This window comes from Homo sapiens, chromosome 5 (assembly GCF_000001405.40).
Source record: "Homo sapiens chromosome 5, GRCh38.p14 Primary Assembly".
In the NCBI taxonomy this organism is placed as follows: domain Eukaryota; kingdom Metazoa; phylum Chordata; class Mammalia; order Primates; family Hominidae; genus Homo; species Homo sapiens.
The window spans coordinates 1,158,662-1,183,086 of NC_000005.10; the positions used below are offsets into that span (position 1 = coordinate 1,158,662).

General features: G+C 58.2%; 1 protein-coding gene and 1 long non-coding RNA gene across 9 annotated transcripts, besides 4 other annotated features; both read right to left on the bottom strand.

Moving 5' to 3' along the window:
- Positions 8,895–9,416: an enhancer, noted in NCBI's record as "H3K4me1 hESC enhancer chr5:1167671-1168192 (GRCh37/hg19 assembly coordinates)". NCBI's record gives its function as "activates a minimal SCP1, AML or CMV promoter by ChIP-STARR-seq in naive H9 embryonic stem cells {active_cell/tissue: H9 hESC(naive)}" and the evidence as "EXISTENCE:reporter gene assay evidence [ECO:0000049][PMID:30033119]".
- Positions 9,417–9,936: an enhancer, noted in NCBI's record as "H3K4me1 hESC enhancer chr5:1168193-1168712 (GRCh37/hg19 assembly coordinates)". NCBI's record gives its function as "activates a minimal SCP1, AML or CMV promoter by ChIP-STARR-seq in naive H9 embryonic stem cells {active_cell/tissue: H9 hESC(naive)}" and the evidence as "EXISTENCE:reporter gene assay evidence [ECO:0000049][PMID:30033119]".
- Positions 11,173–11,342: an enhancer, noted in NCBI's record as "experimental_80773 CRE fragment used in MPRA reporter constructs". NCBI's record gives its function as "activates a minimal promoter by MPRAs in K562 erythroleukemia cells, with activity observed for both the introgressed and non-introgressed 5:1170034 or rs13177034 variant alleles {active_cell/tissue: K562}" and the evidence as "EXISTENCE:reporter gene assay evidence [ECO:0000049][PMID:34662402]".
- Position 11,258: a transcriptional cis regulatory region, noted in NCBI's record as "Neanderthal adaptively introgressed variant 5:1170034 (GRCh37/hg19 assembly coordinates) or rs13177034 in the experimental_80773 CRE". NCBI's record gives its function as "modulates activity of the experimental_80773 enhancer by MPRAs in K562 erythroleukemia cells {active_cell/tissue: K562}" and the evidence as "EXISTENCE:reporter gene assay evidence [ECO:0000049][PMID:34662402]".
- TERLR1 (TERT regulating lncRNA 1) lies at positions 14,435–19,944 on the bottom strand. The gene is made up of 5 exons (NR_109911.1): positions 19,777–19,944; positions 17,300–17,883; positions 16,468–17,027; positions 15,863–15,969; positions 14,435–14,817 (listed from the first exon to the last, which is right to left on the bottom strand). It is a non-coding gene; the product is annotated as a TERT regulating lncRNA 1 (long non-coding RNA).
- LOC124900189 (uncharacterized) lies at positions 14,435–24,186 on the bottom strand. 8 transcript variants are annotated; one of them, XM_047417960.1, is made up of 8 exons: positions 23,982–24,186; positions 20,713–21,550; positions 19,777–20,618; positions 19,387–19,593; positions 17,300–17,883; positions 16,468–17,027; positions 15,863–15,969; positions 14,435–14,817 (listed from the first exon to the last, which is right to left on the bottom strand). In XM_047417960.1, exons 2-3 carry the CDS (start codon positions 21,143–21,145, stop codon positions 20,098–20,100), a joined length of 954 nt encoding a protein of 317 aa, XP_047273916.1. In that variant the 5' UTR covers positions 21,146–21,550; positions 23,982–24,186; the 3' UTR covers positions 14,435–14,817; positions 15,863–15,969; positions 16,468–17,027; positions 17,300–17,883; positions 19,387–19,593; positions 19,777–20,097. The 8 variants fall into 8 exon arrangements, with proteins under 8 accessions (XP_047273916.1, XP_047273918.1, XP_047273917.1 ...); XM_047417962.1 differs by lacking the exon at positions 23,982–24,186 and having other exon boundaries at positions 19,777–19,930; positions 20,027–20,618; positions 20,713–23,522; XM_047417961.1 differs by lacking the exon at positions 23,982–24,186 and having other exon boundaries at positions 19,387–19,590; positions 20,713–23,522.
- Between the last annotated feature and the right edge of the window lie 239 nt (positions 24,187–24,425).

Here is a 24,425-nt window from a genome sequence, read left to right on the forward strand (position 1 = left end):
TTTGTTCTTGTTTTGGAATTTCCTAGAAATTCCAGGGCGATATCCAGGGCTGTGTTGCTGGTGGAACTGAGTGTGTGGCCTGGACCCAAGTGAGGGTGGTTCTGGTGTCTCCGGGAAGCACTGTGCCGCCTGGGGAGTTGAAGTGCTGCCTCTTGCTCTACCCCATGAGGCCGACCCTGGACGCCTCCCCTGAGACCCGGAGGCGGCTTGGGACGGACTTGAGGAGGAAGGAGGTCCCACAACTCAGATCCTCTCACCTCCCGGCCTTCCGCCTCCCCTGTTCAGGCTCCTCAAGTGAGAGCTCCTCCGGACTCCTGCCCCAAAGGCAGCCTGTCCCCAGCTTTCATTTCCAAATGCCCCAATATCTGCCATTCAGCCACACCCTCTGCCCACCCTGTCCCTGGGTTTGAGGCTGCCAGAAATTTGGGAGGCCCTGGAGCCCCTTAGAAGCCTCTAGCCATGCTGAGTCAGCCTGAACGATGGGGCTCACTGCGGCCACTGCCCACCTTGGCCTCCCGTGGACAGTGGCTGCATGTGTCCCGGGAGGACTGTGGTGAATGCCTCCCGAAGACAGGACTGGAGACACAGGAGGCCCAACGGGCTCTGATCGTCTGACGCCTCCGCAGGAGAGAAAGGTTGTAAGAATCCAGGTTCTTTTATGAAATGCTAAAGACAGAAAAATGCCGCCTGGCTCCCGTAAGTTCTCCACGTTGAGCAGTGGATGGGAAGAAGGACAAGGGCTGTGGACGCCGAGTGGCTGAGGACAGGGGAGAGGTGCACCGGCCACGCGCGTCCCTCAGTGGGGAGATGGCTGCAGACATCAGGAGGCTGAGCACAGGCTAACCGCTGTTCCTGCTTTATCCTCCTCTCCAGGTCTTAAATTCTGCTTCTATCACTTTCTTGTTTCAAGACGGTTTTTCCTCCCATCTTGATCTGAGTACTCCTTCATGCTTTTTGTTTATCTTGCTAAATGGAGAAAACAGTGAAGCTTATACAGTTTCCCCTGAAAACAGCCTTGGCCTCTTGGTGTCATTGTTTTCCACTGTTTGTAATGACAACTTTAATCTCTTTGACTAACAACCTACTTATAGCCCCTAATTTTTTCAGTTGTCAGTTTGCAAAATTGAGGTCTGATCTGCAAACAGTAAGACTCGCCACTTTTCCTGCAAGTTCTGTGGGGGACTGACTGCAAGGGCCAGGAGGGTGGTCTGGCCCCATGCAGGCACCTCCGCCTTCATTCTGCAGCCAGGTCAGAGGGACTCAGGGGTCACCTCCAGGGGTCACCCGCACCTGGGCTCCCATGACTTCACTCCCACCTGCTGTCAGATCCCTGGGGTCTCACCACAGACCTGGAGGCCCTCCTGGGGGAGCCTCAACAAGGTAGGTGACCAGGGAACGGGAGAGCCTTTGGGAGTGAGGAGTGATGGAAGTGCAGTGGGGAGCAGAGACAGAGACAGAGAAAGAGAGGGAGAGAGAGACACAGAGAGGGAGGGAGAGAGACAGGGAGAGTGATAGAGACAGAGAAAGATGGAGACAGAGAGAGGGAGGGACAGAGAGAGGGAGGGAGAAAAACAGACAGAGAGAAGACACAGGATGAGTGATAGAGACAGAAAGACAGAGACAGAGAGAGGGAGGGAGAGACAGAGAGAGACAGGAAGGGAGAGAGAGAGAGAGAGACAGAGATGGGTGGAGGCAAGGGGCAGGAGAGAGGATGTTAACCCTTTCTCCCCACCATTTACTGAACTGTACGTTGGACGATGGGACGCCTCCTCCCCCTACCCCGTGACGGGGTCCTGGAGGGGCAGACTTTGGAGAGGAGCTGCTGAAGGGTGGTGGGAGAGCAGGCAGGGTGCCACCACAGCGCCACAGCGACACTGCTGCTGGGGGCTGGGTTCCATTCCCTCTGCCTCGAGATCATGGGGGGTACTTGGATTATTGTTCAGCAAACACCTGCTCTCTTCCCCCTCCACCCCTCCGAGGACACAAGCATGCTCTGCTCTGGATCAACAGTGGATCAATAATGGATTTCAAGCAGGCTGGGCTTGGCCTCTGCTGTCACTGTAAGAAACACACCCCAGGGGCCAGGCGCGATGGCTCACGCCTGTAATCCCAGCACTTTGGGAGGCCGAGGCGGGCGGATCACAAGGTCAGGAGATCGAGACCATCCTGGCTAAAACAGTGAAACCCCGCCTCTACCAAAAATACAAAAAATTAGCCGGGCGTGGTGGCGGGCACCTGTAGTCCCAGCTACTCAGGAGGCTGAGCCAGGAGAATGGCGTGAACCCAGGAGGCAGAGCTTGCAGTGAGCCGAGATTGCGCCACTGCACTCCAGCCTGGGTGACAGAGCGAGACTCCGTCTCAAAAAAAAAAGAAGAAAAGAAAAGAAACACATCCCAGGTAAGGCTGCCGGCCCCTGGAGGGTGAGAGACCTGGAGAGAGGTCTCAGCCCAGAGCACGGCCCAGAAGGGCCGATAAGCCTAGACCAGCTGGCCCTGACAGTGAGCAGGGATAAGTAACTGCAGCTCGACTTGTTACGCAGTGTTACTGACCCAACAGCAGACTGATGCACTTGTCCTGCACCCCCTTGCCGAGGTAAATCCTCCCAGGGCCTCAGCCTCCTCACATCCGAAGTTGGGAGAACAATGGTGCCTCCGCCCCAGGACGGGCTCAAGGTTGAGATGACTCAGCGCAGGGGAATTCTCTGCACACCCTGTCCTCTGTGAATGCTGCTCTTGTTCCTGACTTCCAGGACCAGGCGAAGGTGGCCCAGCTCCCTCCCCGCAGCCTGTTCCATGGCCCACGGTGCTGGGCGTGAGACTGCTCCCTGGTTCTGTGGGCTGGGCCCTCCCTCTGGGCAGGTTCTGTGGTGGGAGAGACAACAGGCTCGCTTTGTAACTCCAGCTGCCAGGTGCACACCCACTGTGTCCTCCAGCCCAGGCGCTTCCTGAAACTCCCCCTTGGTGCTCTGCAGCTTGTTTGCAAAGGTGCTACTTCGCCTGCTGAAATAAAGTGTCCCATTCAGCTCTCTACTCCCGCGTGGTCTGTTGGTCCACGATTTGCCCTTTGTGAGCAGCTAGCTCAGTGGCGTTTCCTGGAGACAAAGGCCCAGGGTTGAGGGTGCCGTGGAGACAGCGCTACCTAAGGAAAGGCGCAGCTACAGGGCACAGCCCCTTGCTGGGGGCGGCCGCCGCAGGGCCGGGCATCTGCCGACCCTCAGCCAGGTCTGGGATCACCCTCACCAGGGCCAGGCCAGTGGGGGACCTGCGGCAGACCTATAGGAGTAGGAGCTGCTCCAGGGCCCCAGCCGTTGCCCGTCCACGGAGGTCACGTTCAGGCTAAGCTGGGCAGCCCGGCCTTGTGTTGCTGGCCCCCAGCCGAGGGAGGAGCTACGGGAGGGGTTGGGGTGAGGCTGTGGCTGGGATGTGCAGTGCCCAGCGACGGAGGGTGCTGGACATGTGCCCGGCTACTGGACAGCAGCCAGGGAGCAAGTCACAACAGAAGCCGAGGGGGAGGATCCTGCATCCCCACTGCTCCAGAAGGTGCATCCAGCTGGGGCGCCCTCACCGTGCGGACACAGGGGCTCCCAGCTTTCTGTGCACGCAAGGCCACAGCAGGAGCTTCCCGGGGTCTGCAGATGACCCAAAGCAGAGTTCATTTTCTTCCAGTACCCTCTCTGCTTCTAGAACCTTCCTCCAGCCCCATTCCAGCGCTCACTCTGGCCGAGACCCCTGCCCACTCACTGGTTGGTGGCCGGCCAGCCGCCCACCCCACGTCAGCAAAGCCAGCTGCCCGTGGCCCGAGGATGTGTCCTCGCCATGTTCCTACGGCCAGTCCTCCTGAGGCCACCGTGACCCCGAGGGGTCCCGTGACGGGACAGGCAGCTGACCCAGCACTGGCCACGCGGCCACCCACTGGAACAGGATGAGAGGAAGCTCCCGGGCAGCAGAAACCAAGCCACCCTCCCCTAGTCACCCCTGCATTTGTCATGTGCCTCCTGCATCTGAGGATGCCCTTCGAGGCCCTGGGGGTGGGGGGTGGGTGTGTCCTCTCTCAGACTAAGGAATCCGTGTCTAAGGTGCGGCTGCCCTTGGGATTTTGCAGGGTGGGTGACGTGCAAAGGGTGGGTGATGTGCACAGGGTTGGGCCTAGGGTAGAATTTGGGCTCTAGGGGACTCTGAACAGAGCGGAAACGTAACATCCAGACGTTCAGGGGCCTGGCTTTTGGGTGCAGCCTCCACCTGGCAGCAGGTTCTGTTCAGGGACAGGGGCTGAGAGCTGGCGCCTGCCCCAGCCTAGTGAGGATGCCAACGAAGGCAACTTCTGCTTTTCTTGAGGAAGAAACTTGGCTTTTGACTGGCCGGATTCAATGATTTTTCTTCCCTCCGAAACATTCCCTCCTGTCACTAGACTCTTTTCTTTTTGATATCTGTTTCTTTCTTTCTTTAACAATGAGCTCAGCACAAGGGGTGTGTTTGCCACCTGTCAGGAGGCAGCTAAGGGCTTATTGTAAGAACTTCTTTTCTTCCCATGGCAGCACTGGGGGAGAGGCCATGGCTGTCCCCATTTTATAGAGGAGCAAACCAAGGGCCACAGCCGTCGGTCACCTTGCTAGGAAGAAGAGGAGGGGAATTTAGGCCCAGCAAGCCGGTGAGCGGCTGGAGCTGTCAGCTTGGTGCTGGGCTGGGCGCCAGGAAGGCCTTGAGTGCTGGAGGGGCTCTCGGTGGCCTCAGAGTGTCTCTATAACCTCCCATTCCCACTCCTGTGCTCTGCAGTAAGCTCTGGGGCTCCCCACTGGGAGGGTGGCTGTGCTCCTGCCCCTTGGGGACTTCCTGGGGGCAGAGGTCTGAGCCATCTCCAGGGCCGGCCCCTGCAGCGCTCAGTTTAGGTGCGATACAAGGGTCTGGCTAGCCAGGTGTGGGGGCCGGTCACGGGCTGAGGGTTGAGGGAACCGTAACATTTCTGGACGCGTTTTTCTGTGGAGCAGGCAAGGTGGTCTGGTCAGGGTGGTGGTCTCCCCTGGGCCGTGGCAGGGGTATGGGGACACTGAACCACAGTCGTGGGGTCCACGGCCCAGTTCCAGTAGCCAATCAGGGGCACATGGTCCTGGTTCTTACCTTGGCTCATTGAGCAGCTGTGCCCAGTGCTGTGGGGTCAGGGGTGACATCCCAGATGGGTCTCCTGGATTTGGGCTGAAAGATCAGTCTTGGGGTACCCCCAGGGTCAGGGTGCTCAGAAACCCCCATGGTGGGCCTGGCCTGCCTTCCTGGCCTGCAGCCCTGCCTGATGCCAAAAGGTCACTGGGCCAGTCCTTGCCCACGGGCCCCTCCCCACGGTGAGACCTGCCCCACTTGAAACTTGCAAACATGGAAACTTGGCGATCTGACCCATGGCCTGGCCCAGCACTGCGACCTGATCCTGCGGCCCTGTGGGCCCCGGGCTCCCCATCGAGGTTGGGTTTCTAGGCTGCCTCAGCCTGTTCCAGCGAGAGGCGCTCGGGGTACGCTGGCCCAAGCCCCGCTGAGGTGCCTCCCAAGGAGGAGCCTGTGACCCTCAAGTGCAGGGGGTTGCAGATGCCCGTGAGCTCTGTCTCCCTCGTGAGTGGCCTGGGCACTGCTGCACGCGGGTGGTGGGGGCTGTGGCCCACCAAGGATTCAGCCTGGTAAGCGGCAGTGGGTGGGAAGGATGGTGTGGGCTCACTTGAGGGTCATGGGAGTCCGAAAGACTGGGGGACAGACTCAGGCCCGGGGAAGTCACATCCACAGGGACATCAGGTGCCCCCCTTGGGCCACCAGGACCAGACACATAGCACCCTGGACTCTCATCTCACAGTGTGGATCTGTGCACACACAAACATAGACACAGATGCACACAGATAAACACACACAGAGATATACACAGAAATACACACAGACATGCAGATACACAGAGACACAGATGGAGACACACAAATATGGAGACACACACAGATACACACAGAAATAGACACAGATACACACAGACATACACAGACACACAGATATGGAGACACACACACCGACACACACACAGAAATACCGACACACACAGCCAGCTGCTCCACCTTTGTGACCCCACCACCTCCTCCAGGGGCCCACCCTGATTGACTGAGAAGCTTTTGCTCCTAATTTGCTGAAATGAAGCCACCAGCGCTGGGGGGAGTGTGGCCCCGTGTCCCTTGAGCTCCCCGTGTCCCTTGCGCTCCCCGTGCTGGCCTCAGAGACCACATGTTCTAGCTGCATGAACAGCCAGCACACGGATAAATCCGTCTCCAGAGGGTACTTTTCGTGCAGAGCCAGTCGGCTGGGCCCTTTTTCTCCCTGCAGGACACCCTGTGTCTCTGTGGGAGGAGGGCAGTGATGCGGAGTGGGGAGTCCTCCTCAATCAGATAACATTGTGTCTCCCAGACGAGAGGCCCATGAAGGTCAGGGAGGGCACAGGGCTCTCGGAGGGAGTGTCTGGGGCCAATGTCACAACCTCTGCTTCACGCCCTTTCCAGACACAAGCGCAGACACTGAGCAAGGAGGAAGGAAGCTGAGACTCTGCGGGCCCGGGGACTGGCAGGAGCTCTTGTCCATGAGTTGAAGCTGTAGCACCAGGGTGGGGACAAGCCGGGCCCATGGTTTCCAGGGCCTCTGTCCTCCGTCCACCTGAGAGTTGTGCCTTGAGACAGGAGGCACTGGGCAGCCAGCACAGCCGCACTTTGAACAGCCATGCAGAAGCCTCCACCCAGGCAGCCCCTCCTCCCAGGCTGGCCGCACCATCCTTCTGATGAAGAAAAACCAGGTTCAGCCCTCTCTTATCGGGACACAAAATAAGGGCCCTGGCGCACCAGAGCAGGGTCATCCCCCTAGGGTGCAAGGAGGTGTTTTGGCCTCTAAGGACACAAAGAGCTGAGTGGAAAGACCAGCCCCTTCTAAGGGGGCGCGTAGAGGTGGATGTAAAGGGCCCCGCCCAGAGCTGGAAAAATGCTGGCCCCAGGCCACATCCTGGAGACTGAGGCTGCGCCTACTGGGAGACCAGGAGCCTTTACCTTTGCAAGGAGCTCCTGGGTGGTCCCAGTGAGTAACGCCCTGAGAGGTTACACCCATATCTCTCAGGAGTCAGGCTCCTGCCTCTGTGTGGAGCATAGTTCACAGAGACTGGTGCATGGGACACAGGCCACTCAGGGACAGTAGGGTAGATCCAGCTCCAGGGCCTGAGGAACAAATCACCTACTCATTCATTCACTCATTCTTTCATTCACTCATGAACCCATCCATCCAGTAATCCACCCACCCATCTCCCCATCCATCCATCCATCCATCCATCCACCCACCCATCTATCCATCCATCCATCCACCCACTCACCCACCCATCTGTCCATCCATCCATCCATCCATCCACCCACTCACCCACCCACTCATCTGTCCATCCATCCATCCATCCATCCATCCATCCAATCATACATCCATCCTTCCATCCACCCATCCTTTCACCCACCCTTTTATCTACCCACCAACCCACCCATCTATCCATCCATCCATCCATCCACCTAACCATCTATCCATCCTTGCACCCACTCATCTACCCATCCATCCATCTATCCACCTACTCACCCACCCACTCATCTATCCATTCATCCATCCACCCACCCACCCATCCTTTCACCCACCCTTCTATCTATCCACTTACCCACCCATCTATCCATCCATCCATCCATCCACCCATCCATCCATCTGCCCATCCACTCACCCACCTATCCATCCATTCATCCATCCATCCATCCACCCACCATTCATCCATCCATCCATCCACCTATCCACCCACCCACCCATCTATCCATCCATCCATCTATCCATCATTCCATTCACCCATAAATCCATCCATCCACCCACTCATCTGTCCATCCATCCATCCATCCATCCACCCACTCTTCAGATAGAAATCTATCCACCTACCCACCCATCTATCCATCCATCCATCCATCCATCCATCCACCCACCCAACCACCCACCTATCTACTCATCCATCCACCCATCCATCTACCCACCTATCCATCTATTCATCCATCCACCCATTCATCCATCTACCCATCCACCAATCCATCCATTCATGGTACGGGGATGTGCAGAGAATGAGATACCTTATGTGGCTGGGGACACAAAGGGAAACCTCCCAAGGTAGCAGTCCTGAGACGTCTGCCATCAGGAGGGAAGTGAGAGGCACTGAAGGGGTGTGTAGGGAACCCAGGGAAGGTCAGTCGTGGGGTGGGCAGTGCAGGGAGAAGAAGCATGGGGGAAGCACCTGCCCATCAGGTTGATGCCAGGGGTTCAGAGCAGTTAAGAAGAGCCAGGGCCGGGCGCGGTGGCTCACGCCTGTAATCCCAGCACTTTGGGAGGCCGAGGCGGGCGGATCACGAGGTCAGGAGATCGAGACCATCCTGGCTAACAAGGTGAAACCCCGTCTCTACTAAAAATACAAAAAATTAGCCGGGCGTGGTAGCGGGCGCCTGTAGTCCCAGCTACTCGGGAGGCTGAGGCAGGAGAATGGCGTGAACCCGGGAGGCGGAGCTTGCAGTGAGCTGAGATCGCGCCACTGCACTCCAGCCTGGGCGACAGAGCGAGACTCCGTCTCAAAAAAAAAAAAAAAAAAAGAAGAGCCAGAAGGTGTTCAGGCAGAGGGACCCCCAGGCTACCAGCGTCAGGAAATAAATGACACAGATTTGCAGAGAGAGGCCGTGGTCAGTCCTGCCTCCAGCTTCCTGGCCAGCCCTGCCTGCCCAGACATCTGAGTCAAAGTAGCCTCTGTCTTCTGTTGTTATTTTCAACATGTGTGCCTGCCACTTACGGTCCAGAAGGTGATGATGACAAGCACTGAAATAACCTTCTTGATCCAGGTGCTTCCTTTCTCCACAAAGGCCTCCCTCAACCTAGAAGGCTCCGTGGCTCTTTATGGCCAAGCAAAACCCTGAGTGGTTTCAGGGCTCTTGGTAGCTCCTGCCCACTCCACACACACATAATCTTAGTCCCATCCTCCCTGCTACAAATTCCTGCAAGTTTCGTACTCAGGAAATGCAGCTGGGGATGGGCACATCTGGGTACCAGGTGCTTTCAGAAGAAGCAGGTGTGGTCAGGGTGCAACTTATGGCAAAAACAGAACTTTCGGTCAAAAATGTCCTGTGCATGGTGACTGAGCACCACCTTGCGGACAAACTGCCAGTGAGCCGAGCCCTCCGGGACAGATGCTGGCAGTGGGGGAGGTGGACTCCGTGTAGACAGCTGCGTCCACCTGCATCAACACCACCCCAGAAAGCTCGGTCCTGGCCTTGCTGTTGGCCCTCGCCCAGGGGTAATATTGGCCTGGCCATCTCTGTCCCAGGCATGCTTTGCCTGCTCCAGAACCCCACAGGACAGGGCCCCCGGCTTCCCGTCTCCTCGCCCACCGTGCTCCTGACATTGCGTCCACAGCTCCGTCCACAGCCCCTGCCCCTGGTGCTGAGCAGCACTCCATGGCACAGATGTGCCACAGCTGCCAGTCACGCTCCTGAGCCTGGACTCTGTGTCATCTCCAGTTTGGCGCAATTACAATATTGAAACACAGCGGCCACGAACCTTCCTGTGCCTGCATGTGGGCAGATGTCTGCGTCCATTTCTCTCTGGTAAACACCAGGGGGAGCCGCTGGGTCACAGAGTAGAAGGATGTTGCATTTCCTGAAAAAGTGCCACACTCTTCCAAATGCCTGTGCCCTTTCCCACGCGTGGGGCCCCTGCCCATTTCGTAAGGCAGATCCGCCTCCATGCCGCACTGCCTCCTCCGTATTTTTGGCATTCGGTTGCTGAAATAGAACAACAGCCATCTCTGCTCAGCACTGTCCATTCTAGGAACCTGCAAGCATTTCATATACATGATGCTATTTTGGCAGAATCCTTAAAAACACAAGTGTTACTACGATGGACAGATGAGTAAACTGAGGCATAGAGCAAGAGATAACTTGCCTGTTTCTGCTTGTTGGTGTTGAGCTCAGTTGCCCCAACCCCCATCAGGCTGGCCCTGACACAGAGGCCTTGGTCTCCCTCAAAAACCATGATTCTCAAGGTCATAAAGATCCCAACACACGCCCCATCACAGGACCCCACCGCACAACTTCCTGAAATGACCACCCCCCAGCCACCGCCCAGAGGCCCCGTGTGCAGCCCTGACCACCAGGCCGGCCCACTTACAACACACAGGATCTATTTCTAGGGACCCAGGGCCTTAGGCTGTTGCGTCAGCCCAGAGATGGTGCGTGGCGAAGCTCCCAGTGCAATGAGAAATTGTGGTCTTGATTTGTATCCAACCAGACGTTTAATATCCGAGACCGTGCCCTGTGGTATGATGGTTGGCGGCAGGCGCTCTGGAGCCTAGTTGGCTTGAGGCCTAACTGCTGCTCTGGCAACGGTGCCCAATTTTCTCAAAAGTGCGATCGTCCGTAACGATAGCACCAGGGTGGTAGCTGTGAGGTTTGAGAGTCCCAGCACCTACTGGGACTAGAGAGCCCCAAACACCCAACGATGACTAAGACTCCTGAAGTCTGCGGGTGCCTGGAAACGGCGTGAGGGACGCCTGGGCCCTGGACAGAGCTGCCTCCTCCTGCCCGTCTTGCCTTGCCGCCTCCCCGCACACTACCAACATCCCCAGCTCCAGGGCCCAGGTGGATCCACGGGTTCCCCACACGGCCAGCTCTCCGGTGTCCTGGGGTTGGTTCAGTGATGCAAGCATCACCCCGTTGGGATCTGTCATGTCTGGGATTTCCAGGAGGGATCACGAGATTAGAAACGTGGCCGAGGCCTGGTGCTTCGTGGACGAGAGCTGTGGGAATCGCATTAGGGTCTGGGGAGGTCAGGGCGGCCCCTTGTGCCCCAACCCCCAGAGGACCCTCTGGTTCCTGGAGGCAAGCCCGCCATGCTCATGTATGACTCTGGAGACCAACCACGCTGGCGCAGGGGTGGTGCAACTCAGGAGGCGAGAGCCTCACTGATGAGGAAAATGTCACCCTAATGAGGAAAGTGCCATGTACCTGGGTAAGGTGGTGTCTGCTGGAGACTGGAGACTGCGCCTCCCAGCCCAAGCCTGCCGAGCACGGGGGCTCCTGGGGGGCATGGCAGGGCATCAGCCCCAATGAGGACAGGACAGCCAGGGTCTGAACCCTAAAGGCTACAGCAGGGAAGGAGGGGAGGAGGGAAGGAGGGCCGGGGGCTGGCCATGACCGGTGTGAGACATGGCCTTGGTGTCTGTCCCCCGCCAACAGACCAAGTCGGGTCACAAAAGGGCCTCCGTTTCAGGACAGCTGGCTCAGAAGGAGAACAGAGCACAGAGCCTTTGGTGAGGGAGCAGGGCCTGAGACAAGGCCGGCCCTCCTGTCCTGGACGTCTCGTGTCCCTCAGCTCATAGCCCTGTCCACTAAAAAAGGAGTCAAGCTTTTAAATAAGGGAAGTTCATCTTATTTGGAAGTTTTTCTGAGCACTGCAGCCCGGGAGGGGTCTTTCAGAGGCACATGGTCAGGCTGCTGCGGAACAGTCCCAGCTCCTGGCACAGCTCTGGTGATGCAGCTCGAAATGTGCACAGAAGTCACGGAAGAGCAGAGTCACACGGAGCTGCAGTGGGTTACAGAGAACGTCTGGATTATAGACGCAGAAGTCACGGAAGAGCAGAGTCACACGGAGCTGCAGTGGGTTACAGAGAACGTCTGGATTATAGACGCAGAAGTCACGGAAGAGCAGAGTCACACGGAGCTGCAGTGGGTTACAGAGAACGTCTGGATTATAGACGCAGAAGTCACGGAAGAGCAGAGTCACACGGAGCTGCAGTGGGTTACAGAGAACGTCTGGATTATAGATGCAGAAGTCACGGAAGAGCAGAGTCACACGGAGCTGCAGTGGGTTACAGAGAACGTCTGGATTATAGACGCAGAAGTCACGGAAGAGCAGAGTCACACGGAGCTGCAGTGGGTTACAGAGAACGTCTGGATTATAGACGCAGAAGTCACGGAAGAGCAGGGTCACACGGAGCTGCACGTGGGTTACAGAGAACGTCTGGATTATAGACGCAGAAGTCACGGAAGAGCAGAGTCACACGGAGCTGCGTGTGGGTTACAGAGAACGTCTGGATTATAGAGAACGTCTGGTTACGGAGAAAGCCTGGATTGTACTGAATGTCCGATTACAGAGAATGTCTGGTTGTAGAGAACGTCTGGATTACAGAGAATATCTGGATTAAAAAGAACATCCAGGGCCGGGTGCGGTGGCTCACGTCTGTCATCCCAGCACTTTGGGAGGCCGAGGTGGGCGGATCACCTGAGGTCAGGAGTTTGAGAGCAGTCTGACCAACATGAAGAAACCCCGTCTCTACTAAAAATACAAAATTAGCTAAGCATGGTGGTGCATGCCTGTAATCTCAGCTACTAGGGAGGTTGAAGCAGGAGAATCGCTTGAACCTGGGAGGTGGAGGTTGCAGGGAGCCAAGATCTCACCATTGCACTCCAGCCTGGGCAAAAAGAGTGCAACTGTCTCAAAAAAAAAAAAAAATCTGGATTATAGAAAACATCTGGTTACAGAGAATGTCTGGATTATACAGAATGTCTGGTTAGAGAGAATATCTGGTTGCAAAGAACATCTGGATTATAGAGAAGGTTACAGAGGACAACTGGTTATAGAGAAAGTCCAATTACAGAGAACTTCAGTTTACACAGAACATCTGGATTACAGAGAACGTCCAGATTATACAGAATGGTTACAGAGAATGTCTGGTTACAGATCCCAGAGGCATAATTACCAACCCTGCCAGACCTTATCTCGTGCAGGACACAGCAAGGACGTGAGTCACGTACCGTCTTTAAGGAATGGAGTGGCTCAGGCAGGAGTCGGGGTGACGCATTGTCAGTTCATTGTGTCTTCAGAGCATCTTTCCAGCAAGCGGCAGTCATCACAGTCGGGTTGAGAAATGAGGCTGCAAGTGGCAGTGGGCACACACGGCTCCTCGTGCTGCTCCTTTGCCTCACAGCCCCCTTGTTCTTGGTCCTACAGCATCTTCCTGCATCGTCCACCCTCCACCCTGCTGCCTGTCCCCATCCTTGGTTGAAGTGGATGCCCAGATCCCACGAGTCTAAATATTCAGTTTTAAATCTCAGGACAAACTGTCACATAAAGTCAGCTCTGGGCCGTCACAGTGACCCACAAGGCCAGGATCCAGGTAGAATCTTGGCTCTCCGCATTCAGAATGGGATCTCTGGCCCAGGCCTCAGGGGGACAAGCTGCCCCCTCCACCCAAGCCCTGAAGGCTCCAGGACGCGCACCCTCAGTCCTCACACTGTCATGGGTGTGTAACCTGCCCCAGCACTGTCCAGCAAAGAGGGAGACCCAGCAAAGTGGGAAATGGGAAGGTGGCCTCCTCTGCCCCACCCCATCCCCCAGCAGCCTGGGGAGATCAGGAACACGGCGCTGCCCACAGAGGACCCTCCTGGCCCACCGTCCCCTCGTGGCGGGTATCTGCCCTGTGGGCTCGTGAGCTCTGACTTGACTATGGGCGGTGTGGGGGTGTCCACAAGGCTGTGCGTGGAGGCATGAGCCACCTGGGTGACCCCACCACAGGGACGGAAGCCAGCAGCATGGCTGGGGTGGGAACACTGCCTGGCTGGTACCCTGATTCCCCACCTGGATCTGGGGAGTTGGGCCTCTCTGGGGAGGCTTCCCTGACCAAGTGCCATGGGATCCCGGGATGCAAGGAACTTCCCGTCACCCTATAATGGCCAGTAGGTCCGGGGCTCCTCGCAAGCCCTCCCCTGGCCGAGGCCCCCTTCCGGTCCAGGATTCTGCAGAGTGACCAAGACCCGGGAGAGTCAGTCCGGAGTAGAAACCACCATACGGGCCCGGCCTGGTGGCTCACGCCTGTAATCCTAGCACTTTGGGAGGCCGAGGTGAGTGGGTTGCCCAAGCTCAGGAATTCGAGACCAGCCTGGGCAACGCGGTGAAACCTCGACTCTACTAAAATACAAATTAGCTGGGCATGGCAGCGTGCACCTGTAATCCCAGTTACTCCGGAGACTGAGGCAGGACAATTGCTTGAACTCGGCACGTCCGGAACTGGTTCCTTCCGGTGGGTTCTTAATCTCACTGACTTCAAGAATGAAGCCACAGACCCTCGGGTGAGTGTTGCAGTTCTTTGTGTCCGGAGTTCCTTCCGGTGGGTTCCTGGTCTCGCTGACTTCAGGAGTGAAGCCACAGACCTTCACAGGGAGTGTTACAGCTCTTACAGGTGGCGCGTTTGGAGTTGTTGGTTCCTCCCAGTGGGTTCGTGGTCTCGCTGGCTTCAAGAATGAAGCTGCAGACCTCTGCGGGGAGTGTTATAGCTCATAAAGGCAGTGAGGCCCCAAAGAGCAAGCGGCAACAAGATCTATTGCAAAGAGCAAAACAACAAAGCCACCAGGGTACCGAGAAGGACCCAAACGGTTTGCCACTGCCGGCTCGGCTACCAGCTTTTTATTCCTTTATTTGACCCCGCCCACATCCTGCTGACTGGTCCATTTTACAGAGTGCTGATTGGTCCATTTTACAGAGTGCTGATTGGCCCATTTTTACAGAGTGCTGATTGGTACGTTTACAAACTTTAGCTAGACACAGCACTGATTGGTGCATTTACAAATCTTTAGCTAGACAGAAAAGTTCTCCAAGTCCCCACTAGACCCAGGAAGTCCAGCTGGCTTCACCTCTCACCGGGAGGCAGAGATTGCAGTGAGCCGAGATCGCACCATTGCACTCCAGCCTGGTCGACAGAGCGAGACTCCATCTCAAAAAAATAAAAGAAAGAAAGAAACGGCCGTGTGGGGTGGATGGTCGTCAGGGTCCGCACTGCAGAGACCCTGGGAGCTCCTGTGCCTGGTGGGCAGAGAGTGCCCACCATGGTGAAGGGGCCTGCATCTGGCCTGACCAAGGACCAGGCCAGCTGATCGCTGCTCAGTGGACTTGGTGTGGACAGAGGGTAGGGAGGCTCCACAGGCCCTGGCCGCAGGCACCTCTGGGAAAGCATATCCACATCATCTTCCACCGTGAGGCGGGTGGCGACCAGAATGCAGTCAGTGTCTTGTATAAAACCCAGCGCGATGCCTGTGTTGCTGCCCCATGTCCCCAGCGGGGAGAAATCGCTGGGTCTGAGTACTTGAGGATGCAATTCAGACTGTCAGGAGGGGAGCGCCCCACCCAGCCCGAGGGGCCTCGTCCCACCCGTGCCCAGGGACACACGTGGACGCAGGTGGGGCTGAGCCGCCCCTGGGGTACCGTGGGCACTGGGGCACTGCTGGTGCCATCTCCCACCTCAGGCCCCTCCAAGGGGTGTCCCTGGGCTGCTTCCCCTCCCTCTGCTGGGGGGCTGCCCTCTCCCTGAAGCACCCCCAGTCCCTCCCCAGCAGACTGATGCCGAGACTGAGGCAGAGGCTGAAAGTCATTTCCAAAAGGTCCTCGGTGACACTGGAACTCGTTCTGCTTGTTAAAAATTTCAAACCGGAACGAGACTTTGGAGCTTATTTTGTCCAAGCCTTTTATTTTTCAAAGGAGGCAACTGCACTGAGAGCGTTAGACTCAAGGTGCCTGGCACTGACTCAGGCTCCAGGGCACCCCCTCCCCGGGATGCCCCACACGAAGCACCCGTCCCTAGAAGGTGGCCCCAGGTTCGTGGTCCCATCTTCAACCCCAGGGTTTACTGTCTCTATATTCTCTGCCGTGAAGTCTAAGGGCAGCTCAAATTTCATAAACGGAGAAACAGTCCTATTTGTCGATTCTCAACTGCCTTTATCTCCAGAGATCCCGTGAGAGCAGGGATTTGTGGAATGACTCACTGTGTAGCGGCGTCTTCTGGCGGTGGACGAGGCCGGGCGCACGATTTTCCCCGTGGGTGAGAGTGCCCTCTGCTGGTCCATCCAGACACCGCTGTCAACAAAGTTTCCTGAGGAATGGTCACCTGGCTCAGCTGGGGGAACCGGACTCCCCATTCTATCCCATTCCGTGCCCCACCCAGAGTCTTAAGCTAGACCAAAGCTGATTTTTCTCCCACACTAAGAATATGCCCGGGGCTGGTATAGGGCACCAGGTGTCGGGAATGCAGGCTCTGTGAGTCTCGCCAAGTCACTGAGTTACCATTGCAGCACAGGCTTCCTCCTGATGGCCCAAGGTGGCTGCTCAGGCTCCAGCCCTCACATGTGCCTTCCAGGCAGCCAGAAGGAGACATGAGGAGGGGAAGGGCCTGTCCCTTCCTTTAAGAAAACTCCTGGAGGTTGTATTCACACTTTTGCTCACCTGTCATTGACCTAAACATTTTCCTGTGGCCACGCCTGGCTCCAAGGAAGCTGGGGAGCCAGGGGGTCTAGGAACAGTGAGAGATGCTCATGTTGACAAAGAATGTGCCCGCCAGCCACAGAGCAGCTCCGCCCGGTCCTACACTCACCCTGCATGCAGCTCCATCGCTTCTCTCAGTGCTGGCGGCTCCAGAGCTTCTGGAGCTGCAGGATGCTTGGAAAGAACATAGACTCAAGGAAAGTGGCGCCTGGAGCCTGCAGCCACTGGTGAGATGGGTGGAAGCAGCCCTCAGAGGCCGATCCCTCCCTCACACCATCAGGATAGTCTGTTAGCCTCGCCAGGCCCCAGCTTTCTTGTCCATGGAGTGGGGTTACTAACAGTTCCCACCTCAGAGGCTGGGATTCATAGAGTCTGGGTTTTAGGGGAGGCTGGGATCAGAGAAGCTGGGATCGGGAGGCTGGGAGTGGGGGTCCTGGGATGGAGGAGGCTGGGATTAGGAGGCTGGGATTGGGGAGGCTGGGATTGGGAGGCTGGGATAGAGGAGGCTGGGATTGAGGGCACCTGGGTTCCCTCTGGTCTCTGCCTTCTCCCTGGCTGCCTGGTTGGTCCCAAGGCCACACTCAGATTTGGAAGGTGATCTGTGTCTCATCCAGGCGTCCACTGTGGCTTCACGTTTCTGTCAGTCATATGCACTAGGCTGCACCTCACCTTGTTAAGTAGAGATTTTAACATTCACCCCCTGAACATGAAATCAGCATGTGGACTAAACTCAGAAAGATTTCCCGAGGCAAAATCGTGTCTTTAGTGGGCCATTTAGTGTGGGATCTACTTAAACTATCACTGGAATACATGGTGGATGTCAAGGAAGGCCCTGGCCCAACCCTGCTGCTGCTGAGGGAGGGGGCGGGGGTAAGGCCTGGTAGGGGGGCGGGAAGCACCTCTGGGTTCTGTACCTGGAGTGCCCACCCTGAATCACCCACCTTCACGCACCGTCTCTGTGGCTGTGGAAACATCCGGCACAATGAGCACGGGGCGACTGTGAGACAGGGCCTTAGAAAGGGCGCGGTCTCTGGACTTGGAGTGAATGTCTGCACCCTTGGGTGTCAGACGCCCCAGTGGCTCTCAGTATCGACTGGAGGCTCTACAGAGAAGTGCAGTTGTGTCTGCTCTGTGGTACTCGCTGGTGACGATGAGTTACTGAGCTGTGACCATCGACACCGACTCCCACTCTCAACAGGGCTGAACACCTGCAGCGACTCCGTGGTCCTGCGAAGGTGCTTATGGCCACGCTGGGGCTTGGTCGACTCCTCCTGGGCTCTGGCATCACTGAAATAGTGTCAGGGACCTCGATCTCGGGCCTCCAGCCTCCAGAACGGTGGGGAAGCAATGTCAGTCACTCATCCAGGCTGTGGCATTTTGTTACAGCGGCCCAAGCAGACCAATGCACCCCCTCGCCCTGTGGGTGGTAGTGACGGGAATCCATCACTCCAGCGGGTCGCCTCATGGCCAGAGGCATGGCAGGCTGGAGAGGCCGACTGCGGTCGGAGGGACCTGCTGTGTTCTCCTGGAGGAAGAATGAAGCCTTGAAGTCAGCAGAGCCCAAAGCTGCGGGGTCGGGGGCGCAGGGAGCGCTTTGCACGTGGGTCGCTGAGAGCGAGAGCATTGCTCACCGCCACTCCCGGGACCTGTGCAGAACGAGCGGCCCCAGCCCCGGCTCTGGCCCCAGCGTTGACTGAGAACCATCGCCCTGCACCTGAGGCAGGAGAACAGGGAATGGGGTCACCGAGGGCTAAGGCAGAAGCCGGAGGGCAGCAGGTGCCACCGGTTCCTGGCTGGATTGGGCGGCACACAGGCCGCAGCCTCCTTCCTGGGAAAACAAGACAGGAGTCTCCACCTCAGCCTCTGATTGGCCGCAGGCCAGTCTTCATAGGATGCAGCCAATCAGAGACCTGGAAAGGGCACCTGGGGGTGTTACCAAATTCTTTTAGCCCAATACAAACCCTAATGGGGGCTCCGGAGCACTTGCTGGAGTCCCGTCCCCCCTTGTGGAGTGCATGTTCACTGCAAAGGATCTGCGCTTTCATTACTCTGTTATTTGTCGTTTTGTGAGTTTTGCTCAATTCTTTGTTCAACATGCCAGGAACATGGACTCACAGTCAGGACCTCCCTTCCGGTAGCACACCCAGTAGGGCCTCCAGCCCACCCACAGCGTGGCTCCCACCGCCCCCGGGGTTGCCCACGGCGGGGATCCCACCACCCCTCGGGCCGCCCATGGCAGGGCTCCCACTGCCCACCAGCGCCAAGCCCTTCTGCTCAGGTCGCCTGCTCCTGAGTGGCGGGGACACGGCTCTGGGATCCTATGGCCACAGATCCGTTCCTCACCCCTTTGCTGTAAAATGCGTTTCTTGGTCAGGAACATCGTGTGGGAAATTATAACATCTGAATAAGGCGTTCGGAAAGACTGTGGGCGACAGTGCTGAAGACAGCCCTGGAGTAAGGGATGGTGACAAGTCCCAGACAAGCACCCACCCCAGAGAGAATAGCTCTGCTCTCCCCACCGTAGAAAAGCCCAGTTTTGGCCGGGCGCGGTGGCTCATGTCTGTAATCCCAGCACTTTGAGAAGGCCAAGGCGGGCAGATCACGAGGTCAGGAGTTCGAGACAGCCTGACCAACATGGTGAAACCCTGTCTCTACTAAAAATACAAAAATTAGCCGGGCGTGGTGGCTGGCACCTGTAATCCCAGCTACTCAGGAGGCTGAGGCAGGAGAATCACTTGAACCCGGGAGGTGGATGTTGCAGTGAGCCGAGATCCTGCCATTGTACTCCAGCCTGGGTGACAGAGCGAGACTCTGTCTCAAAAAAAAAAAGAAAAAGAAGAGCCCAGTTTCCATTGGCCGCCACCGTGGCTGCGCCCTGCAGTGACGCTGTGACCAGAGCCACCTCCATGAGAGAAAACGCTTGCTGGGGAGCCCTCGTGTTCTCCCCAGTGCCACTGTGGCCACCCATCCCCAAGCTCTCGCAGGAAGGATGGGGCAGCTGGGAAGGCAGCATATTGTCCATTCTCACATGGAGAGCCCCAGTGCCCGGGATGGTCCTCAGTGAGCATTCACAGGGCGCGGCGTCCTCCAGCCGTGAGCATTGGATAGGCTGATGTACACCTCTGCCCCGACCACCCTGCCACGCCTTTCCACGGGTGCTCCTCCCTCCTTGATGGTCTCGTCAAACAGCGGCCGTCCACGAGTCAGCGTGCATCCATGCCTCTGGCCGTCTCTCCTCCAGTGGAGGCGAGCAACTCACTTAGTGTGGACATCCTGCCTCCCAGGGCATGTCCCTTCCCCAGCACCTTCAGGACCACCCGTGCCTGGGATGTGGGCCCACAAGCTGCCGCAGCCACACAAAAGCCACCCAGACACCGAGGGGCAAGTAGCACCAGTGCATTGGCAGCCTGCAGCTCACCTGCTGAGCGGGTCAGGATGTGACACGGGCGGTCACTGGAAGGCAGAGGGGCCCCCCAGCCTTGAGCCTCCTTCGCGGTAAGTGGTGCAGGGGCAGCCATTTCTCTTTCACTTCTCACTGTCTCCAGAACAGGAGAAATATCCGGAGCTCAGGCCTGTGTGTGTTTGTGAGGCCAGAGGTCAGTGAAGCCTCACAAACTCAGGATGTGCTCCTCCTAACCCTCATGTCTCCTCCTCTTCCTCCTCCTCACCCGTCCCCTCCTCGTTCCTCCCACTGGGATATCAGAGTCAGAGAGCTACAGGGGTAGAAGGGATGTGGGGGTCACACGGGCGTCCGCTCGAGCCCTGCCTGGGCGCTGGAGGAGGGCCTGGCCATGTTTTCTTTCCTAGAAACTCTCATTTGATCCTCCGAAGGGAGAGAAGGGACGGGAAGGAACAGAGGCCTTGGGTGTCGGCCTAATTCAGTCCCAAGGCCACCCCCACCTGCCATCCTTGGGGCCACTGGTGACTCCACATTGCAGAGCAGCTGCTGGCTGAGGCTGGGCTTGGCGGTGCTCACGTGCCTGGGGTGTGAAAGCTGCACGCAGCCCTCATCTGGCCAGGTCCCCGGCTCCGACTCACACCGTGCTTGGCCAGTGTTTAACTCACACAGCGTGATGCTCTCCACTTCATGCCTGGGGACGGACGTCACTCCTATTCCATGTCTTGTCTTTCCACAGGACTCACGTACGGACTCACATGGCTTTGTGTGCAAAAGACGACTACACGGTCGTAAACGAGGCGGCCCACCCCAGCTCTCCCTCAGGTGAGGCTCAGCTGGGGGCAGACCAGGCCAGCCACGTCCTGCAGGGCGAGAGGCACCCGGCCCGCTGGAGTCCCACGCAGCCCTGACATGCCCAGGACCCTGCTCACCCCACACCCTCGCTCGGGCACCCACCCCCTGCCTGCAGTGGGGGCTTTCCCTGGGGCCTCAAGACTGCAGGAGAGGCAGGCGGGGCCTGTGGGGTTGTGTTTCTTCTCTCCAGAGTTCCTGAGTCCGGAGCACATAGGCAGAAGGAGCTGCTCCCCATGTTCCCAGGGCTGCTCCTGCAGGGGCTCAGGAGTGGGGACCGGGGGGTTTTGTCAGAGCAAGTCCCCAGGGGCCAGGCCCAGTCATCTCGCTCCAGGCAGCCTGGGCCTGGGGCCCTGACCACTTGCCCCGCACGACTCAGGGCCCCCTCCGCACCTGGACACGGGCCCCACAGGCCACGCTCAGGCCACCCCAGGGTCAGGAACACAAGGCTACGCTGGGAAGTGCCAGCGTCTCGCACATAGAATTGGTGTTGCTTCTCTCTTCTCAATATCCACCCCGAATACCCCATTTTCCACATTTCCTATATTAAACTGTATTATTTTGTAGTTAGAAAAAAGTTTTATTTCTAAAGATGGCAGCTTCTGTCTCTGTACCCGTGGAGTTAGAATCAGGAAGAGAATGTGGCTCCCGTCGCGTGGCACCTGTGGTCAGGGTGGGGGCACCCAGCTATAAGCCACATCATTCGTGTTCAGTCCCTGTCAGTTTCATGAGAAGTGGCAGCCGAGAGGGCAGCCCGGGAGGTGCCACCCGAGCTGACGGTGACACCACGGTGATGCCTGGCTGAGCTCAGGGCGGCAGCACACCCCTCCTCGGGACCGCCTGTGTGGGTGTCCCCTGTAAGGTGGCATTGCCTGGGCCCCCGCCAGGCCACAGTTTTCCAAAGACTCCAGGGCTTGGCTGCTGCATCCAGCTGCAAAGAGGCCTGCTGGGAAAAGAGCTGATGCCACAGGGAAGAAACGCGACCCCCACGGGCCCTGCTGGCCTCTCCAAGGCCCCGACCACTGGACGCAGAGGAAGCCGGCCTTGCGTCAGGGTGAGATGGATGGAGACGGCCACGGGCAGTGCTGCCCCCAGCGGGGCGCGCCTCACCCTGGACTGTGGGGTCCTCTCCACAGGCAGCGCTGCCCCCAGCGGGGCGCGCCTCACCCTGGACTGTGGGGTCCTCTCCAGAGCCGCCCATCTGGTCCTGAGACTTGGCCCAAGGCTTTGGGTCCACAGCCTGGCTCTAAGGAAAGCCTGTGCCAGGCCTTGGGGAACCCATTGCCGAGCAGTCACAGAAAGCTCCCGGGGTCCCCGGGGCCCATCTCAGTGAAGCCTGAGGCGGGGGATGGGGGTGGGGAGCAGGGCCCTTCCCGCTGGAGCCTGGAGCCTGTGCCTCTGGGTCCCCTGTGGGGTGGGGGCCTCATAGCCATGCTCCCAGGGTGGGATGCAGCGCCCTCCCCGCTGGAGCCTGGAGCCTGTGCCTCTGAGGCCCCTGTGGGGTGGGGGCCTCACAGCCATGCATCCAGGTGCCTGGTTCTTCCCCCATGGAGCTTGTCATAGGTACGGCTGGTGTGCCAGAGTCTGAGGCCCTCTGTCCCGAGAGCCGTCGTTCTCCAGGCTCTAGGTACCAGACCTCCATCTGTGACTCCCCCAGGCGCCCACACTTTCCTGGCTCTCCTCCGCCCCCGACCCCATCTGCTGGGGCCCTGGCAGCCCTTCCACGTCTGCTCCTCCTTCCTCCTCCCCACAGAAGCCCTAGGGATGGTCCCAAAGCCAGGCCGAGTGTGTGACACCGTCTCCAGCTCCCACGTGCTCAGGGTCGGGGCGGGCTCAGCGGGGTGTCTGGCTGCTGCCTCTCACCCCTTCCCTCCTTCGGAAACACGGCACTGGGCCTGACATCCACCATACGGGACAGTGGCTGGGCTTCTCTGGCCAGACCGAGGGGCCGCCCCTGCTGGCACTACGGGAGGTCACCCTGCAACACCCCGGATGCAGGGAGGATGCCCCCAAAGGAGCCCCCTTCTCCTTCTGAGGCTTCTGAGGAGCCCGGGGCTCAGCGCAGCTATAACCCCTTAGAATCCCCCGCTCCTCGGAGCCCCTGCCACCTCCCCGGGCTTTTCCCAAACACTGCCTGCTCATGGTGGGCTCTGGGACCTTCTGGAAAAGAGGTAGCCCTTGTCTTTTCAGTGCTTCAGAGGCCGTGCTAGTTCTTTGCCAACACACGGGCAGGAAGAGTTGAGTGGCGTCCAAGGGCCGGAAAAGCCGAGCCCCTCCCCAGTCCTGGCCTTGAAGGCTGCTCTGTTCCTGAGCTGGGCACAGAAGCTGCAGTGACTCAGGGTCCACCGTGGGGTCGGGCCTCACCCTGGGCCCAGGTGAGCCAGAAGGGACAGCGCTTTGAGGGCTGACCTCACGCAGGTCCCCGGGCCAGGGAGAGGCCGCACCTGCGCCTGGGTGGTGGAGGGGAAGGGAGGAGGGGCTGCTCCCACTCTGAGCAGGCTCTGGAGGAGGATCAGGACAGGCCCTAAGGCGCTGTTTCTCCCCCACCCCATGGCCTTGGGAGAGGGTCTGCCCCACTCCCTCTTCTCTCCCATGACCTCTGACCCTCAGCCCCTCCTTCCTTTGGGCCATGCTGGCTAGTAGGCTCCTCCCATGTCCACAGCGGTGGCTCCGCGCTGCCCCTTGGACTTCCCCGAAGTGACCCTGACCCCTGGACCTTGGCCACCCCTCCCAGGCCACACCCCGACCTGGTCCCTCCAAGTGTCCACCAAACCCTGGAAGGGAAACACTGCACGCCTGTGCCCTGGGGGCCGGGGTCTGCCCAGAATGCCTTCTCTTCCTTGCTCCTTTCACTAAATGTTCTTTTCTTTTCTTTTTATTTATTTATTTATTTATTTTTGAGACAGAGTCTCGCTGTGTCGCCAGGCTGGAGTGCAGTGGCGCAATCTCAGCTCACTGCAACCTCCGCCTCCTGGGTCCAAGTGATTCTCCTGCCTCAGCCTCCCTAAGAGGAGCTGGGACTACAGGCGTGCGCCACCACATGCAGCTAGCTTTTGTGTCTTTAGTAGAGACGGGGTTTCACCATGTTGGCCAGGATGGTCTCGATCTCTTGACCTTGTGATCCACCCGCCTCAGCCCCCGAAAGTGCTGGGATTACAGGTGTGAGCCACTGCGCCTGGCCTGAATGTTCTTTTCAGGACCACTCAGGCCTCCAGCCCCAGGCGCCCAAGAGGTTTACCTGTTTCCCACCCAGGAGCCCCCACCCTGCGTGTCCTCTGACAGCTGTGGGGACCTCACTTCAAACGGGCTTCAAGGGAGGCCCCAGCACTGTGTCTTACCTCAGGCTGAGGTCTTACCTCAGCCTCAGGTCTTACCTCAGCCTCCCTCCCGGCCCGTCCATCTCAGGTCCCCTCAGCGCCCCCGGCAGATGTGCCTGAGAACCTTGCTGAAGGGGTGCCAGGGTCGGGGACTCCGGGACTCACAGCCAGAAGAACTCTCCCTGCACCCCGCTGCCCCGAGGAAGGGCGTCCAAGCCCTGCCTCTCCCAAGGCCCACCTCTCAGGGGCAGCGGATCGGAATGGGGCACCCACCCGGGGAGGCCCTGTGCTCCCGATTAGATTATCAACACCACACAGTTCACCTTTGCTCGGCTGCGCTGCTGTTGGTTGAGGAAAAGCAAAGAGGAGTTACATTTTAACATTTGTGATAGCGCAGCTAGCAGCTCGCAGCTCCTGCAGACAGCTGCTGGGGGGAGGGTGCCCAGGGAGTCCACGCTGGCTCCAATAAACCCGGCTCCCAGAGACGTGTGTCCTGTCGCC

Bases quoted from the DNA above. Each gene is read 5' to 3' on its own strand.
- LOC124900189 (XM_047417960.1), bottom strand. From the start codon at position 21,145: ATGTGGAAAATGGGGTATTCGGGGTGGATATTGAGAAGAGAGAAGCAA. The intron at 20,619-20,712 runs GTGGGTGCCCGA...CTCGCCCTGCAG, and splicing joins GCCCCCACTGCAGGCAGGGG to GACGTGGCTGGCCTGGTCTG.